Source organism: Homo sapiens, chromosome 12, assembly GCF_000001405.40.
Source record: "Homo sapiens chromosome 12, GRCh38.p14 Primary Assembly".
In the NCBI taxonomy this organism is placed as follows: domain Eukaryota; kingdom Metazoa; phylum Chordata; class Mammalia; order Primates; family Hominidae; genus Homo; species Homo sapiens.
The window spans coordinates 77,665,595-77,685,693 of NC_000012.12; the positions used below are offsets into that span (position 1 = coordinate 77,665,595).

At 36.2% G+C, this 20,099-nt stretch overlaps 1 protein-coding gene across 7 annotated transcripts in view, besides 2 other annotated features; it reads left to right on the forward strand.

Annotated features, from left to right (window-relative positions):
- The window catches only part of NAV3 (neuron navigator 3), a 641,149-nt gene that overhangs the window by 93,733 nt on the left and 527,317 nt on the right, over positions 1 to 20,099 (forward strand). The gene's annotated exons all lie outside the window — the stretch shown is intronic.
- Positions 1,555 to 1,849: a silencer, noted in NCBI's record as "tiled region #9790; K562 Repressive non-DNase unmatched - State 24:Quies". NCBI's record gives its function as "represses a minimal TATA promoter and a strong SV40 promoter by Sharpr-MPRA in K562 cells {active_cell/tissue: K562}" and the evidence as "EXISTENCE:reporter gene assay evidence [ECO:0000049][PMID:27701403]".
- Positions 12,875 to 13,169: a silencer, noted in NCBI's record as "tiled region #15641; HepG2 Repressive non-DNase unmatched - State 24:Quies". NCBI's record gives its function as "represses a minimal TATA promoter and a strong SV40 promoter by Sharpr-MPRA in HepG2 cells {active_cell/tissue: HepG2}" and the evidence as "EXISTENCE:reporter gene assay evidence [ECO:0000049][PMID:27701403]".

The window sequence follows — 20,099 nt, forward strand, 5'->3', positions numbered from 1 at the left end:
TTTAAAATCTGATATGATTTTTTTGAGTTATAAATATAAACTATTAAACATCTACTTTATACCAGGCTTAAAGCATCATTTCATTCATTCTCATAAAAACACTAGAAGTATACATGATTATTTCTAATTCCTATTTATAGTTGAAGCAACTGAGGCTCAGTCAGTAATTACTCAAAGAGGGCACACTGTGATCCCTGTCAGTCTCTCTGAATTTATAGCTGCTGATCCTAACCATTCCACTTCAAGTTAATATAGTTTGCCTGGAATCACAAAAGAAATGTTATTTTGGTAATTTTTCAAATGAGGAAAAAGTACACATTGTGTGACATCTCAAAATCTTTACACATTTCGCTTTAATTCATTTACTCAAAATTATCTAGTGCCTAGGATAAACTCTTTTTGACAGATTGCAAAAATGAGAAACCTATGTAATTATGACTTTAATTAGTTTATTATCTGTTAATCATAATTTATATGTAAAATTTCTTCTAATCTCTTCTGTTTTTATAAAATTCCATCTTCCACTCTTTCAGGTATACTCATGTAGACATACCCTAATTGCTTCCAATAGCAACATGTTTACAGTTTTTTTTTTTTTTTTTTTGTCTAGTCAGGGGTCTCTCTACTGAGTCTTTCAAATCACTCATTAATAATATCTCTTCTAATTATTGGCCAAACAGTAGATCTTGATTTCATTAACTTGTGTTTCAGTAACTTCTCATTTTGAAACCAAATGCCTTGTACATAGTAGACATGCAACAGATACTCATAGAATGAATGAATGAATTTATAATGGCTAGACTACAAACAAAAATCAGATTACTTGAATCATATGAAGAGAGACGCTATTTAATCTAATGTCTATTAAATAAAAAGCCAAATGTTGCAAAGTTTATCTATTAGAAAAAAAAAGAATACTCCACAAGAAAATGGCAGATTTAATTTAACGCATTCTGAGAATAAATTCAAAGATTGTAAAGCAATTGGCTTGTGCTAAGTAAGTCTAAATATTCTGCTCAAGGTATTAAATTGAATTAGGAATTAAATCCTCTTATTTAAAGGGATGTATTGTGCTTCTTTGAGATTTACACTATCCAGATTAGCATTTTATTTAATCTAGAATTTTTCTTTGATATTCACATCAGATAGGAGGAGAAAATTTGTTTCAAAGTTTTTCTTTTAAGGTTGATTTGATTAATCATACTTCTATTGAGTATTTTCTATCTGCTGCTTGTCGTGTTGGGTAACAATGGCTTTCTTTTGGAAGTAGATTTTATGGATGTTTCATATTTAATTTCATAACTAAGTCAAAACATTTAATGGCTACCTTAAAATAAGGCTATCTTATAAATGAGACATTTGTTACAAATTTTATGAACTAAAATGGAGTGTGTGTATGTGTATACTTTTTTTAGATTTATCAGTCCCATGTCCAAATCCGAAGAATACATTTCTAATTGTACATTCCTAATTATGCAGAACGTAAAGTCTGAATGCAAAAACTTTTGCAGGAGATGGAGTTGTAGAGATTAAGATGGCGAGTAGGAGGCAGGACTAGCTTGCAGCTCCTGCTCAGACAGACAGAGTAGCATGTGAAGACTCACATCATGAACTTTTGCTCCAAGAAATACCGCAGGAACATACCAGGAAAGGCGAGAGAATCCACAGACCCTTTGAAGGAACTGGATTGCTGCCGCAGGCTCCCTGAGATGCCAAAAAACTGAGTCAGCTTGCTTTCTCAGGTGGTGGTCTGGGGCAAGTTCTCAGCCCTGGTCACAGGCTGCCTGGAAATAGACTCCATGCTGTTGGTCGGGCATGGCGGGAGTAAGACCAGCCTTTATGACTGCTGGCTGTATGGAAGTGGGGTGAGGCCTGTGACTTGTGGCTTCCCCCCACTTCCCTGGGGACCTGTATGACTCAGCAGAGGCAGCCATAATACCACTGGGAACATAAGTCCATTGGCTTGGGAACCACAATCCCATCCCCCACAGTAGTCACACGGCAAGCCTCACCCAGGGAGACTCTGAGCTCAGACATACCCATCCCTGCCCCAACCTGGTAGTCTTTCTCTACCCACTCTGGTAGCTGAAGACAAAGGATATAATCTCTTGGTAGCTCTATGGCCCTGTCCACCACTTGAGAAACCTGAATACTAAACCAGGCACCCCTAGGGCAAATCTGCATCCTCCCTGTACAACCACAGCTGATGCACTCTTGAAAGCACCACCTTCTGTCTGGAGGCCAACCAACACAAAACTGGTGCACTAAACAGAAATACAACCAAGACTCACAGAGTCTTCTTCACTCCCCTGCTACCTCCACCAGAGCAGGTGCTGGTATCCATGGCTGAAAGACCTGAAGACAGATCACATCACAGCGTTCTTTGCAGACACTCCCCAGTACCACCTGGTAGCTCCACTGGGTGGCTAGACCCAGAGAGCAAAAACAGTTGCTGCAGTTTGGCTCTCAGGAAGCCCTATTTCTAGGGGAAAGGGGAGACCACCACATCAAGGGAGCATCCCATGGGACAAAAGAATCTGAACAGCAGCCCTTGAGTTCTGGATCTGACCTAGTCTACCCAAATGAGATGGACCCAGAAAAACATTCTAGTAATATGACCAAACAAAGTTCTTGATTACCCCCAAAAGATCACATCAGCTTATCAGCAACGGATCCAAACCAAGATGAAATCTCTGAATTGCCAGAAAAAGAATTCAGATGGTCGACTATTAAGCTAATCAAGGAGGCACCAGAGAAACGTGAAGTCCAACTTAAAAAAAATTAAAAACATAATACAGGATATGAAAGGAAAAATCTTCAGTGAAATAAATAGCATAAATAAAAAATGTTCACAACTTCTAGAAATCAAGGACACACTTAGAGAAATGCAAAATGCACTGAAAAGTCTCAGCAATAGAATTGAACAACAAGAAGAAAGAACTTTGGAGCTCAAAGACAAGGCTTTTGAATTAACCCAATCCATCAAAGACAAAGAAAAAAGAATAAAGAATAATAATAAAAGATGAGTAAAGCCTCCAAGAAGTATAGGACTATATTATTGTCCAAACCTAAGAATAATTGGTGTTCTTGAAGAAAAAGAGAAATCTAAAACTTTGGAAAACATATTTTAGAGAATAATGGAGGAAAACGTCGTCCTTGGCCTTGCTAGAGATCTAGATGTCCAGTACAAGAAGCTCAAAGAACCACCTGGGAAATTCATTACAAAAAGATCATTGCCTACACACATAGTCATCAGGTTATCTAAAGTCAAGATGAAGGAAAGAATCTTAAGAGGTGTGAGGCAAAAGTATCAGGTAACCTATAAAGGAAAACCCATCAGATTAACAGCAGATTTCTCAAAAGAAACCCTACAAGCTAGAAGGGAATGGGGTCCTATTTTTATCCTCCTTAAACGAAACAATTATCAGCCAAGAATTTTGTATCCAGCAAATCTAAGTTTCGTAAATGAAGAAAAGATACCGTGTTTCCCAAATGAAGGAAAATTACAGTCTTTTCCAAATGAAGGGAAAGATAGTCTTTTCCAAAACAAATGCTGAAAGAATTTGCCATTACCAAGACAGCACTACAAGAACTGCTAAAAGGAGCTCTAAATCTTGAAACAAATCCTCAAAATACACCAAAATCGGACCTCCTTAAAGCATAAATCTCACAGGGCCTAAGTAACAACACAATGAAGAAAAAAACAACGTATTCAGGCAACAAATAGCACGATGAATAGAATAGTACCTCACATCTCCATACTAACATTGAATGTAAGTGGCTTAAATGCTCCACTTAAAAGATACAGAAAGACAGAGTGGATAAGAATTCAACAACCAAGTTTCTGCTGTCTTCAGGAGACTCACCTGACACATCAGGACTCACATAAACTTAAGGTAAAGGGGCAGAAAAAGGTATTCCATGCAAATGGACACCAAATGCAAGCAGGAATAGCTATTCTTATATCAGACAAAACAAACTTTAAAGGAACAGCAGTTAAAAAAGACAAAGAGGGATGTTTTATAATGATAAAAGACTAGTACAACAGGAAAATATCACAATCCTAAATATATATGCACCTAACACTAGAGCTCCCAACTGTATAAAACAATTACTACTAGACCTAAGAAGTAAGATAAATGGCAAACAATAATAGTAGGGGACTTTAATACTCTATTGACAGCAGTAGACATGTCATCCAGACAGAAAGTCAACAAAGAAACAGTGGACTTAAACTATACAACAAATGGACTTAACAAATATTTAATGAACATTCTACCCAACAACTGCAGAATATACATTCTATTCAAGAACAATCCAAACCCAAAGCCAGCAGAAGAAAAGAACGAAGATCAGAGCAGAATTAAATGAAATTGAAACAAACAAAAAAAATACAAAAGATAAATGAAACAAAAAGCTGGTTCTTTCAAAAGGTAAATAAAATTGATAGACCATTCTTGAGGTTAAACAGGAAGAGAGAATATCCAAATAAGCTCAATGGGAAACAAAACGGGAGATATTACAATTGATACCACAGAAATACAAAAGATTATTCAAGGCTATTGTGAACACCTTTACATGCATAACCTAGAAAACCTAGAGGAGATGAATAAATTCCTGGATGTATACCATCCTCCAAGGTTAAACCAGAAAGATATAGAAACTCTGAACAGACCAATAACAAGCACCAAGATTGAAATGGTAATTAAAAAATTACCAACCAAAAAAGCCCAGAACTAGATGGATTTACAGCTGAATTCTATCAGACATTCAAAGGAGACTGGTTCCAATCCTATTGACACTATTCCACAAGATAAAGTGGGAATCCTCCCTACATCATTTTATGAAGCCAGTATCACTCTAGTACCAAAACTAGGGAAAGACAGCAAAAAAAGAAAACTGCAAACCAATATTCCCTATGAACATAGATGCAAAAATCCTCAACAAAATACTAGCAAACCAAATCTAACAGCATATCAAAAGGATAATCCACCATGATCAACTGGGTTTCATACTAGGGATGCAGGGATGTTTTAACATACATAAGTCAATAAATGTGATACACCGCTTAAGCAGAATTAAAAACAAAAATCAGACGATCTTCTCAATAGATGCAGAAAAAGCATTTGACAAAATCCAGCATCCCATTATGATTAAAACCATCAGCAAAATTGGCATAGAAGGGGCAAACCTTAGGGTAATAAATGCCATCCGTGACAAACCCACAGACAACATTATACTGAATGGGAAAAAGTTGAAAGCATTCTCCCTAAGAAGTGGAACAAGACGAGGATGGGTACTTTCACCACTTGTATTCAACACAGTACTGGAAGTCCTAGCCAGAGCAATCAGATAAGAGAAAGAAATAAAGGACATCCAGATAAGTAAAGAGGAAGTCAAACTGTTGCCATTTGCTGATGATATGATCATATACCTGGAAAACTCTAAAGACTCATCCAGAAAGCTCCCAGAACCGGTAAATGAATTCAGCAAAGTTTCAGGATACAAAATTCATGTATACAAATCATAGCTCCACTATACACCAACAGTGACCAAACTGAGAATCAAATAAGGAACTCAACACCTTTTACAAGGGCTGCAAACAAACAAAAAACAAGAAACAAAAACAAAAACAAAATACTTAGGACTATACCTAACAAAGGAGGTGAAAGACCTCTACAAGGAAAACCCTGCTGGAAGAACTCATAGATGACACAAACAAATTGAAAATGGCCATATTGCCAAAAGCAATCTACAAATTCAATGCAATTCCCATCAAAATACCACCATCATTCTTTAAGAAACTAGAAAAAAATGATCCTAAAATTCATATGGAACCTAAAAGGAGTTTTCATAGCCAAAGCAAGACTAAGCAAAAATAATAAATCTGGAGGCATCATATTACCTGACTTCAAACTATACTATAATGCCGTGGTCACCAAAACAGCATGATACTGGTATAAAAATAGGCACCTAGACTAAGGGAACAGAGTAGCGATTCCAGAAATAAAACCAAATACTTACAGCCAACTGATCTTTGATAAAGCAAACAAAAACGCAGAGTGGGGAAAGGACACCCTATTCGACAAATGATGGGATAATTGGCAAGCCACATGTAGAGAATGATACTGGATTTTCATCTCTCAGCTTATACAAAAATTGACTCAAGATGGATCAGACTTAAATCTAAGGCATGAAATCATAAAAATTCTGGAAGATAACGTCAGAAAAACCCTTCTAGATACTGGCTTAGGCAAAGACTTAATGACCCAAGAACCCAAAAGCAAATGCAACAAAAACAAAGATAAATAGATAGAACTTAAACTAAAAAGCTTCTGCACAGCAAAATAAACAATCAGTAGAGTTAACAGACAACCCACAGAGTGGGAGAAAATCTTCACAATCTATGCCTCCGACAAAAGACCAATATCCAGAAGCTACAAAGAACTCAAACAAATCAGCAAGAAACAAACAAGCAATCCCATCAAAAAATGGGCTAAGGACATGAATAGACAATTCTTAAAAGAAGATATACAAATGGCCAACAAGCATATGAAAAATGCTCAACATCACTAACGATCAGGGAAATGCAAATCAAAACCACACTGCGGCCTGCAAGCATGGTCATAAGCAAAAAATAATAAAAAAATAGATGTTTGCATGGATGTGGTGAAAAGAGAACACTTTTACACCGTTGGAGGGAATGGAAACTAGTAAAACCATTACGGAAAATAGTGTGGAGATTCCTTAAATAACTAAAAGTAGATCTACCATTTGGTCCAACAATCCCACTACTAGGTAGATATCTACCCAGAGGAAAATAAGTCACTATATGAAAAGGATACTTGCACACGCATGCTTACAGCAGCACAACTTGCAATTACAAGAATGTGAAACCAACCCAAATGCCCATCCATCAACGAGTGGATAAAGAAAAGGTGATAAGTGTGTGTGTATGTGTGTGTGTGTGTATATATGGCTGAGTAGTATTCCATGGTGCGTACACATATACATATGTATGTATATGTATAAGCTATGAGGACACACAAGCATAAGAATGATACATTGGACTTTGAGGACTCAGGGGAAAGGGTGGGAGTGGGGTGAGGGATAAATGACTATACATTGGGTATAGTGTACACTGTTCAGGTGACAGGTGCACCAAAATCTCAGAAATCACGACTAAAGAACCTGTTCCCTAAAAACTTATTGAAATAAAAAAGAAATTAAAAAAAATAAAATTGTGGGAAAGGAGCTACTAGTTTTAGTTAGTGTAAAATTGATTTTAAAACTATATGACTATTTTGAAGGATAGTAAGAGATGAGGAAAATAACAACTAAGGGCTTCCAAAGGAAATGTTTGCCTTTTGTTCTTTTTGTTATTTTTCTCCACTTTTTTCGTGATATGTATTTGTACATTCAGAATTCTTAGTGTTGTAGAAAGTAGTTATTACTTGTATGTCTGTTCATATTTAGAGGTAATCAAGTGTATTTTGCTATATACATTTTTACTTTTTAAAAATGTTCACACCTAAACATTACACCAGGGATATAAACTTGTGGAAATATCAGCCTTTTTTGCTCATCTTTTTTTGCTGAGTGTTTCTCTCAAAACTCCATTAACAATGAATTTGGCTTTACTATTCACACATATGTTACATTTAAAATGTCCTCTTTTATGATCAGGTTGCATTGCAAGAGATTCATACTCAGCGTCTCACATGAATGATTCAACAGAGATTAATGAACATAATAGCAATTTCTTATTATAGTATATATAGTAATTTCTTCTTATTCACTGAAAGGAGAAACATTAATAAAAACTAGTAATAACTGTTAAGGTTTTCTTTTAATATTATATCTAAGGTATAACTCACATTTTCAACTTCCTACATTTATTTTAAAGCAACAAATCTTCCTTGAGCCATTGAAGACATTTATTTTGATAAATATGAAAGATGCAATAATTTTTTGAACACTCCTCCAAGTAATCTGATACACAATGACATCAAGTTCATTTGAAAGCAAATACCTATTCCTGAACTTTTGTATGGTGTTTGATATCAAACCTTTCCTAAGATTTACCCATTTAAAAAAAGAAATAGGTGAGGAGGAAGTTACATACCCTTCTCTTATGGGAAGAATTTTCTATAGAAAATATTTCATTTTATAAACTGTAAAATACCTATAATAATCATAAGTTCTATTGCATATCTATTTTTCTTTTACTGTGTTGTGATCAACACACAATGAACTCTTGCTTTTTAAAGTGGTAATTGATATTTAGATTCAACTTTTTTTTAAACCAAATGAACAAGAATTTGGTTAGCCTTCAGAGTCTTAATACACTGCATATGTTTTTGTTAAAAATATTAACTCCCTGAATTCTCATTACCTAATTTTAACTTTCAAACTAATATCCCAGGTCATGAAATGAACCATCATTTCCAAAGGAGTCTTAAAATACTATTAAGAATATTATAAAATGTTGTGCCATTTTGCTGTCTTACAGAGCCATAATATCAATGTTTCTTTATAAATGTAAAAATAGCAAACCATTTTATTAGGTTTTCTTCATACAACTCTGGCTTTGGGCTATCTTTAGCTCATGTGGTTTGGGTCATCTTAACTAAAAAGAAGTTTGTAATATTCAGTGGGCTGACTACATAGGCAAATCTAAATGACATTTGGATTTCTTGCCCCTTAATTACACATTCTGAATTCTACCCACATGTTCTTTGGAAGATATAGCTAAAGTTCAACTAACACCAAATGGAGATATTTTCAAATTATACTTTTTTTTTTTTTTGAGATAAGGTCTCACTCTGTTGCCCTTGAAGTGCATTGGCACGATCATGGCTCACTGTAGCCTCAACCTCCCAGGCTCAGGTGATCCTCCCACCTCAGCCTCCCACGTAGCAAGTAGCTGGCACTACAGGCATGCACCACCACACGTGGCTCATTTTTATATTTTTTATACAGATGGAGTTTCACCACATTGCCCAGGGTGACCTCAAACTCCTGAGCCCATGCAATCCACCCACCTCAGCCTCCCAAAGTGCTGAATTATAGACATTAGCCACCATGCCCAGTCTATACTCCAATTTTAAACTCAGTGGTTTTTGTTAAGTTGCACATGCATTTATATCCATGCATTCATTCAATTATTATTCATTGAATACTTACTATATGTTCTAGGCTTGATAGTGAAGATATATTGGTGACCAAATCAGACCTGACTTCTGTCTTCATGGAGCTTAAACTCTGGAGGAAAAGAAAGTTGAGTGCCAAACAAATATTCTGTATTTGTATTTGAACTGTACTAAGTGCCACAAGAGAGAACAAATGTCATGTCTTTAACAGCAGGATCTGAATTGACAGATGGGTGGTCAAAGAAGGTATTCTCAAGGAAGTAGATTTTTAGGTGAGAACTGAAAGGATAGAGCATACGGTAAGTGCATTTCAGGCAAAGACAGGGACCATGAATGACGTCCTTGAGGTACACAGGGCTTATTTACACATACTAAATAACTCATGCAACAAATCAGAAGTAAAGAAAAATGTAGCATTTTACATTGTTTGTTATTAATTCAGTCTTCTTTGTGAATATTCAGTTGTAGCAGTCAGGTTTCAACCAGAAAAACAGAACTGTTAGGAGATATATATTAAGAGATTTATTGCAAGGAATTGGCTTACATGATTGTGGGGACGGGCTAGGCAAGTCAACAGTTCTTAGAGTACATTTTCAAGGATAGGCTGGAACTCTCCAGCAGGAGCTGAAGCTGCTATTCAAAGGCAGAATTTCCTTCAGCTCTGCTTTTAAGACCTTTCAACTAAAAGGCCCACCCGGAATAGCAAGGATAGTCTCTCTTACTTAAAGCCTACTGATTATGGATTTTAATCATATTCATAAAATACCTTCACAGCAACACCTAGATTAGATTCCCATTTGACTGAATAGCTGGAGACTGCACCTAGAAAGATTGTCATGTAAAACTGACCATCACACCAATGCAATTTAAATTTTTCCAATTTGAACATTTAGGCAATCCTCTTAGGTAAACATCAGCCTCTCATTTAGATAAAAATGTGCTCCTCAGACCACCTTCCTCTCAACCACCTTCCCCTGCTGTGATGGTGTCCAGTTGTCAGTGGGTGAGTGTTCTGGGAAGGTTGTGCCTTGTGAGATCTGAGGTCCTGGGAGGGCCTCAGGCTTCTTCCTGTGCTGGTCCTTGTGTGTTTGTGGACTATAGGTTTCTGGCCCTGATCTACCTGGTTGACACATGGCCTTCTGTCCTGGACTTTGATCCTGGCCAGTACTGTCAGTCTCCCCTCCGTGGTCAATGATGTTGACCTCTGGATTTCTGCTCTCTACTGCATTTGGCCCTGCCTGGGAATTTCCACAGTTCCTCACCCACCAGAAGGGCTGTCATCACATCATCCACTTCACATGGGAAGCAAGCAGCTTTGGAGTGCTAGCTTTTTTTTTTAAATTTTTTTTTATTTTAAGTTCTAGGATACATGTGCTGAACGTGCAGGTTTGTTAAATAGGTATACATGTGCCATAGTGGTTTGCTGCACTTATCAACCCATCATCTAGGTTTTAAGCTCCGCATGCTTTGGGTATTTGTCCTAATGCTCTCCCTTCCCTTGCCCCCCACCCACCAACAGGCCCCATTGTGCTAGCTTTAAGGCTACTCTCTCTTCCTGAAAGGAGTGCTCCACCTTGATATTGCCACTCCCTAGATCCAGAGGGTGGCTTACAAGGTGGTGTCCTCCATGGCCTCTTCCAGGCAGATGATGGACTGTCCTTAGCACTGCTGGCACAGCTGACAAGCATGTCTTATAGTGGTTTTTATCTTTTATTTTCCTTCCACCAATCTCCCAGGGTTAGAAACAAGTGGGCTTTCTTTTCTTTTTGCAGAACTCGTCCTGTGTGGCTGGTAAGCCTACCCCTTTAAAGCCTTTTTTTTTTTTTAAATTTTTTAAAAAATTTTACTTTAAGTTCTGGATACATGTGCAGAATGTGCAGGTTTGTTACATAGGCATACATGTGCCAGGGTGATTTGCTGCACCTATCAACCTGTCATCTAGGCAAGGGGGAGGGAGAGCTTTAGGACAAATACCTAATGCATGTGGAGCTTAAAACCTTTAAAGTCTTTTGAAAAGCACAGTTTAAATATCAATCATGTTGTCCTTCACCAGGCATGGATTGAGGAGAAAAGGCCCCCTCCCCTCCAAAAAAAACCCTATTTATGAGGGAAAGTTAAGGACCTAGGGTTAGGGTAAGGGTGAGGTGTATGAGGAGGAAGGGGAAGTGAGCACAACATTCTTTAAGCTTTGCTTAGATCCCCAGAATTGAAATGTTGACTCTAGATAGACATGATAATTAGATTTTAAAATGGTTCTCACACTCATTAAAACTCCTAAACCAGCACAAAGGAACATGAAGTGTATCTACCAGTAGTGGGGATTGATTCCTCATGATCCATTTATCTCTTCTTAACCCATCCCCACATTTAACCAGAGGTATTTTCAACATGAAGTATTGAAGAGATAGTTTCAGTTTGAGGCTAAGAAGTAATTCACTTATGCAACAAATATTGATTTAGTATATCTAGGCACAGCCTATAATATGAAATACTGAATGAATGCATGAATAATATGAAATGGTCTCAGTTTATAATTGGCTATTTATCCATTACAAAAACTTATTCTTTTAAAAAGATAACTTAAATAGATGAAAAAATGGAATGTCACACATTCTGTGCCCTGATGGTAGGGATGGCTCCATGGATATGCTTAGAAGGGCCCTGCACTTGGTTTAATGCCCGGTTGTTGTTGCCATCTTAAAATTCTTAATTTTTAAACAAGGGTCCCAACACATATTCATTTTGTGCCAGCCCAGCAAATTATGTATCTTGTCCTCAACAGAATAATTTGACTTCCAATCCTGACTTCACTTACTAGCTCTTAAGCAAGTTATTCAACTACTCTAAACTTCATTGTCTTATCTGTAAAATGGACATGTACCAGTGCCTGAAAGGGATTGCTGAGAAGATAAAATGAGATGTGTGAATGGAGTAATTAGCGCATTGCTTTGTAATTAGCAAGCGTGCAGTGAATGTTGGCAGCTGCTGCTGCTGTTACTACTACATAAATAAATGTGTTTTGGAACCAAACTATTTTTTTAGGTCTAAACAACCTACTAATGTAACAAATACATTGCGCTGTTCAAAAATAAAAGCTACATAAAGTCATTTTTAAAAATTCAAGACATTGCTGAGACTGCCTGCTTTATTTTTCTAGTCACTGGTTAGTTTTCTTATAGTAAATAGATTTTTTTTCACAGATTTATTAAAATTGAAATAATTTTTTTCTTACAACTTTAAGACTCTTAAATAGTATGATTTTCTAAAGGACAGATAGCAGGCTCTGATGTTACGCCTTGTTAGCACTGATTTGCTCTTAGGAGTTTGACAATTTAGCTTCTATTTTAAGGCATTAATATTTAATATAGATTTATAAATAAATGAAGTACACACAAATTCCACTAAGTAAAACCAGATGAAGCACATGGACAAATGGAAGTGGTACATTAGGAGGAAGCAATATATATAATACAGTAATGTTATATTTTAAAAATGTATAACCAATCTTATTTGATAAAGGATTGGAGCAGAATATTTTACCTATTCAGCATCACCAGAAGAATGGATTGACTGTTGTTTTTTTTAAATAACTGAAGCTTAAGCACTTAAACTTTTAACGTTTACTAACGTATTTTAATGGAAATTATTGTTTCTATGGAAATCTTAGATTTTGCAGGCATCTGATTCCAAAAATAGAATGTATTAAGCATAATTTTTTATTAATGACTCAAGGTCGTCATTCTATCATATCTTTATAGTATTTTCTCTTTGGGGACTTGAAGGGATCACAGGAATCCCCTACTTCCTTTACAGGAATTTCCTCAACTTTCTGCGGAATGCTAGCTGGTGCTTACTTGTTCCATTTGCTGGCATAGCTTCAAATTTCTAATGACCAGCTCAATTGTAGGAAGGCTGTTTCTGCTGTTTACCCCTTTCTCAAGATTTTTAAAATATATTTGATTCTTGTCAGTCTCTTTATGTGGTTAGAATTAATAGATCTGTAAAAACTCAGGAGCATTATCTCAGCCATCTTATACCATATGGTACCCTAAGAAGTAGAGAAATCTAATCCCAGAGCGATCAGAAGGAAGACAGAAGGACAGAGAGGAAAGAGAGGAGAAATTAAGGGAGTGTGCCCAGTTCCTGAAAGCTTTCTGGCTTCTGTTTATCTAGAAACTTTATGATTAAGTATCTCATTATCCTTTGAAAGTCTTTAAGTATTCCATTATCTTTTAAGTAACTCCAAAACTTTCAAAAATGTAGTTTGAATTTGTGTTATTTTACTTGTGAACAAAAGCATCTTAAGTACGACTGTGTCTACTTTAGGCATAGTCTACATTAGTTACTATGCAATGTTAACTCATTTTGAATTTGCAGGTTACTAACTCTGGATTTTTTTTAACCTCGATTCAGGACTTTATATTAAAGCTCTGTTAAGTTGCAATATACCTTTGAATATGATACCTTTGAATATCATAATAGTGCAAGAGGCACTGAAGGCCTCTACTAGGGCACTAACAGGTTATCGGGGAAACAACACGAAGGATAGGAAGACATTATGAGAAGGTTTAAAAGGATGTGGTGCTGACTGGATGGAGGGAGATGGATAAGAGATTGAATCCTTAAGATAACTTACAAATGAATGGGTAGAGTTTGATGCCATTCACGGAAATGGAACATATAGAAAGGGATGAAAGGGAAGATGAGTTGTTCCCTTCTCGTCATGTTGAGTTTGCTTCACTTGTAGCAGGGGTACATACATAAGTCTGGATCTCAAAAGAGAGGCCCAGAGGACAGTTAAAAAAAAAAATCAATGAGTTGTTTATTAAGTGATAGTTTACTCCAGGATGCTGAAAGGGCCTACTCAGCAAGGATGCAGAGTATGAAAAGGGAAGGCTGGAGATGGGACTGGGGAGCACCAACTAGTGGAAGAAGAGAATGAACTCTGAGAAAATTGAGAAACAGCAGCCTGAGAGGCGAGAAGTAGTGGGAAAAGACAGCGTCAGAAAAGACAAGATGCATTTGAGAAGCAAGAGCGATCAACAGTGTCAAGTGACCCAGAAAAATCAAGTTGGATTAGGAGTGCCGTATGCCCATAATCTTGGATGACTCAGAGGCAACTGCTGACTTTAGACAGAGTATTGTCAGTGGATCAGTGGGTAGGAAGAAGGCCAGCTTACCATCGAACCAGAAGTAATGGGCAGTGTGGAGGTACGCGTCATGTCCTTGCCTTTCATAAGCTGAACTGAGTGAGAACGAAAAGAGAGGATTTATAGAAATAAGAGGATGCACAAGTGAAAGGGAAACTTTTGAACAATAGAGATTGCATGGTGTTATACTGAGGGAGGAAGAAAGTTAGAAGGCACAGGGAAAGGGGGTATTGACTGATGGAGGGACAGACAGAAGAATAGGATCCAGAGTTCCAGTGTCTGAATTTGCTTCTGATAAAATTTCAGAACAGACACTTTTATGCCTGTGGGGAGTGATGTGGGCATGGGCAGGAGGGTAAGGGACTGGGAATTGAGGTGTACTTTTTTCCCAACCTAATGCTGATTTTTTTCCTCCCTTGAAGAAAGAATATCTATTAGGGTAATGCTGTTTGCATCTTTCCACCTCACCCACACTTCGCCTAGGGGAAGAGGGAGGCATCATTTACTTAACTGTGGATTCATGGGCTACCTTTTCTCCTTTCTCCCTATCAGGAATTCTCTATTTCTCTGTTAGAGTTGTGAATGGGTTAGTAAGACTGTCTAGCTTTCGTTTTCAATATTAGGAGACTTATTCAGCTTTCACACTTAAGCCCAGTCGCCAATGTTAGCATTCACAATAAGAAAGATGGTATTTTGTACTTCATTGCCAAATTCTTTTATCCTGTTTCTCTGTTGGCCCAGAATTCAAGCAAGGAAGAAGAATGCTGTCTTCTTTGTGCCCTTTATTGATTTTCAGGAAACTTTTCTTCTATAGTATGTGCAAAGTAGGTGCACAATATAAGAAAAATATCTCTATACACACGAGAATGGAAAGTTAAAAGAGAGTCTTGGTTTCATATAGGAGACAAGAACCAATGCCAGGAGTCGAAAGTGGAGTAGAAGCTGAAGGAAGAGTCACATATGGACACCAAGAAAGAGTACTCAATAGCATTTTTTATCCAGTGGAGATGAGAATCTATTAAAATAGTTTTCCCTTTTATTCCTCAATAAAGTTGACTGTGATGATGAGATCCGATTTTGGGGGGAGGGGCGGAAGTCATTCTTTGTTAGATTTCTGGCCCTGGGATCTTATCTTTAACTTTTTCTGAAGTCATTGGTACATACTTAAATTTGCCTAGTATTTTTTTATCTTTAGGGTTAGCAGCTTGAAGATAGCTTGATCACTTCTCCGATAAGCTCTTTAACCTATTACATCTTTTAATTTTGAAAAGATTTCAGTCCAGAATTTCAGTAAGTTCTCCAACTTACTTCATCTCCCTTGTGAGCAATAAAATTAAAAGTCATGTTAAGAACATTCAGTTCAGAAAACATGATTTGGATACCTACTTGATGAAAGGCAAACAAGTAATAGGTAATTATATTGGTGATGTTAAATATGCCAAATCTTTTGTGTGTAGTAATTCTCCAATATTCCCAGGAAGTCTTTTTTAATATTCCTTTTGTTTCCTGTGAGTTCATGGTAAAAGAGCATCAAAGCCGAATGACAGTAGTCACTAGGTATTTTCAGTAAGGTGAAGGTTACTCTATTACAAAAATGACTGTTTTCAGATTTAATTTAAAAGAGAATCACACCTAGTTGAAACATCTCCATGTCAGCAACATTTGAAGTTTGAGAGAAAGGAACCACAAACCGTGCAGTGTTAATAATCAACTGTTTTTTTCAATAAATTTCTGGCACAAGGTGTTCTGTGATGGCTGATTTTCCCTCCCTTTTTCAGGTATAATTTCCAAAAGCAAGACTCACAAATCTTAAGTGTATGCTTTGATGAGTTTTTATAAAAGTATTAAACTCATGTAACTAACATCAACCAGGATTTCTCTTTCCAATTTATACCTCTCTCTCCCAGAGGAAATTACTCCTTTAATTTCTGGCTTTATAGAATGTTATCATTTGTTCCTTTTTTAAATTGACAAGTAAAAATGGTATACATTTATGGTACAAAATGATGTTTTGATATATTTGCCTATTGTGCAATGGCATCGTCAAGCTATTTACACATGCATTATCTTGCATGTTAATTTTTTGTGGTGAGGACACTTAAAATCTGCTCTGGTAGCAATTTTCAACGATGGAATTCATTGTTATTAACTGCAGTCACCATGATGATAGATCCCTTGAGCTTATTCCTCCTAACCAAAATTTTGTGTTCTTTGACCAACCCACACCCTGGTCCCCTGCCACCCCCCACCTCGCCCCTGGCCACCACAATCCCCAGCCTCTGGTAGCCACCATTTTACTCTCTGTTTCTATAAGCTCAACTCTTTTAGATTCTACATATGAATGAGATCATGTGGTATTTATCTTTCTGTGGCTGGCTTATTCCACTTAATATAATATCCTCCAGATTCACCTACTTTGTCACAAATGACAGAATTTCCTTCTTTTCAAAGGCTAAATAGTATCCCATTGTGTATAGGTATTACATTTTCTTTATTTGTTTATATGTTGATGGATACTTAGGTTGATTCCATATCTTGGTTTTTAGGAATAATGCTGCAATGGACATGGGAGGACAGATATCTCTTCCACATACTGATTTCATTTCCTTTGGGTATATATCCAGTAATAGAAATGCTGGATCATATAGTAGTTCTATTTTTAGTTTTTTGAGGAACCTATATACTGTTTCCATAGAGGCTGTACTAATGTACATTCACACCAACCATGTGCAAAGGTTCTCTTTTCTCCACATTCTTGCCAGTACTTGTTATCATTTGCCTTTTTTGATAATAGTCATTCTAATAGTAGTGAAGTGATACTTCACTGTGGTTTAGATTTGCAATTTCCTAATCATTAGTGATACTGAGTATTTTTTTCAAATGTCTGTTGGCCATTTGTATGTCTTATTTGGAAAACTGTGTACTCAGGTCCTTCACACATTTTTTTAATTGTATTATTTGTTTTGTTGCTGTTGAGGTGTTTGAGTTTCTATTTATATAATATATTTTGGATGTTAATCTGTTATCAAGTCTATGACCTGCAAATATATTCTTCCATTTTGCAGATTGTCTCTTTACTTTGCTGATTGTTTCAATTGCTATACTGAGGCTTTTAGTTTGATATAATCCCATTTGTGTAATTTTGCTTTTGTTGCCTGTGCTTTTGGGGTGATATCCAAAAAATATTGTCAAGACCAATGTCATAGAGCTTTTCTTCTATGTTTTCTTCCAATAATTTTATAGTTTCAGATCTTATATTTGAGTTCTTTAATCCAGTTTGAGTTGATATTTTTGTATGGTATAAGGTGAGGGTCTAATTTCATTCTTTTGCATGTGGTTTTCTAGTTTTCCAAGCACCATTTATTAAAGATACTGTCTTTTTCCATTGAGTATTCTTGGCATCTTTCAAAAATTAATTGATCATAAATGTATAGTTTTATCTCTGGATACCGTACTTTGTTCCATTGGTCTTTGTATGTGTTTTTTTTTGCCAGTACCATGCTGTTTTGATTACTCAAGCTCTGTAGTAGATTTTGAAAACTGGTAGTCAGGTAATATGATGGCTCCAGCTTTGATCTTTTTGCTTAGGATTGCTTCAGCTATTTGGGATCTTTTGTGATTCCGTATGAATTTTAGGATTGGTTTTTATATTTCCGTGAAAAATGTCATTGGAATTTTGATAGAGATTGCACTGAATCTGTAGATCGCTTTGGGTAATATGGGCATTTTAACAATATTATTTTAAACAATATTTTTAATTATTATTTGTTCTTAAACATTGCAAAAATGGGTTACACAGTAGGTGTGCTTTTATGTCTGGCTTAGTCTGCTAAGCATAATGTTTTTGAGATTCTTTTGTTTACTGTGCATCAGAAATTCATTTCTTTTTATTTCTTGAATATTGTTCCATTGTATGCATATGTTACAGTTGTATATCCCCCTCCTGCTGATGGACATTTGAGTTTTTTTCAGTTTTAGATTATTATGAATAAAGTTACTCCATACATTTGTGTATAATATTTTGGGGGACATATGTTTTATTATTTCTTTTCAGTAAATATGTAGGAGTAGAATTGCTGGGTCATAAGGTAAGTATAATTTTAAAAGAAACTGCTTAATGATTTTCTACAGATGTTGAACAATTTTACACTCCCACTAGCAATATCTGAGTGATCCCAGTGATCTGCATTCAGACCTGCATTAGGCATTATTACTGTTTAATTTTAGCCATTCTAATGAGTGTGAAGTGATAATCTTATTGTGGATTTAATCTGCATTTTCCTGATGACTATGTTAAGCATGTTTTTATGTGTTTATTGGCATTCACATATACTCTTCTGAAGGGTTTGCCCAAGTCTTTTGCCCATTTTTAACTATTATTATTATTTATTGTTGTTATTTAGATAATATGGATACAAGTATGATTTATGTATTATAAATATTTTCTCAGTTTGTGGGGCTTGCCTCTTTCTTCATTTCTCTCTGTCTCTCTCTCTTTCTTTCTTGTTTTTTGACAGTGTTTTACTCTCTTGTCCAGGCTAGAGTCCAGTGGCAAGCAGTGTCCAAATCCTGGGCTCAAGTGAACCTCCTATCTTTTTTATTTTTTTATAGAGACAGGGTCTTACTGTGTTGCCCAGGCAGTTCTTGAACTCCTGGCCTCAAGAGATTCTCATGCCTCAGCCCCTCAAATTGCTAGGATTACAGGCATAAGCCACCATGCCCAGCCTACTTTTAATTTTCTTAATGATGTGTTTTAATGAGCAGAATTACTACATTTGAAGAAGTCAGATTTATTATAATTTTTTTCTGATGATTCCTTTTTTTTGTTCTAAAAATCTTATATAACTCATTGCCAAGATATTCTTTTTATGTTTTCTTCACTGAACTTTATATTTTGGCCAAGGTCTGTAATCTACCCTGAGTTAAATTTTTGCATATGGCCTGAGGTATAAATCATGGTTCCGTTTTTTTCCATACAGATATATATTTAACCCAGCAAAATATTTTGAAAAAATTTTCCTTTCACTATTGAATTCCCTGTTGCTGACACCTTCGTCAGAATCATTACGGACTGTGTAACCTGTTCCATTGGTCTATTCATGTATCCTAATACCAATGTCACACTGTCGTGATTATTTTATGTTTATACTATATCTTAATGTCAGATTGCTCCTCTAATTTCATTCTTCCTTTTTAAGATTCTGAAGCTGAAACTTTTAATGAGTTGCTTTGAGTACTTACATGAAACCTACTATTGTTCCTATGTTCTCATAGAAAAATATTTTTATGAATGGGTTATTGAAAAAAATCAAACAGATAAATATGCATAAATCTTTTAACCAGGCTTCCTGTAAGCGGTGTGTAACATGCCACGAAATTTGCTAAGCGCCTTGGAGCAATTCTTTTGTGCAGTGAAACAAGTTTCCTGACATGTGCGCCATCTGCTGATCGACATTTCCAATGGCATCATATCATGGTGAAGAACTCTGAACTTCATTTCTCTCTTTGTTCATTCACTGTCTTCAATGACAGATTCTCCAGCTCAAATCTTTAAGATACTCCCAACGCATACACATGCACACACACACACACACACACACACACACACACATACCCACACGCACACCATTGGTTTTATATTCCATTTATATCTTTTTGCTTCCTATCCACTTTTATCTTTCATATCTAATTACCAATTTTCCCGTTTTCAAGAGCTTCTTGAAATGAATAGCCCGGAAGATTCTCATCTCCACCCAGCAAGCCTCAGAGAACTGTAAGAATGGCTGTTTGTCAGGTC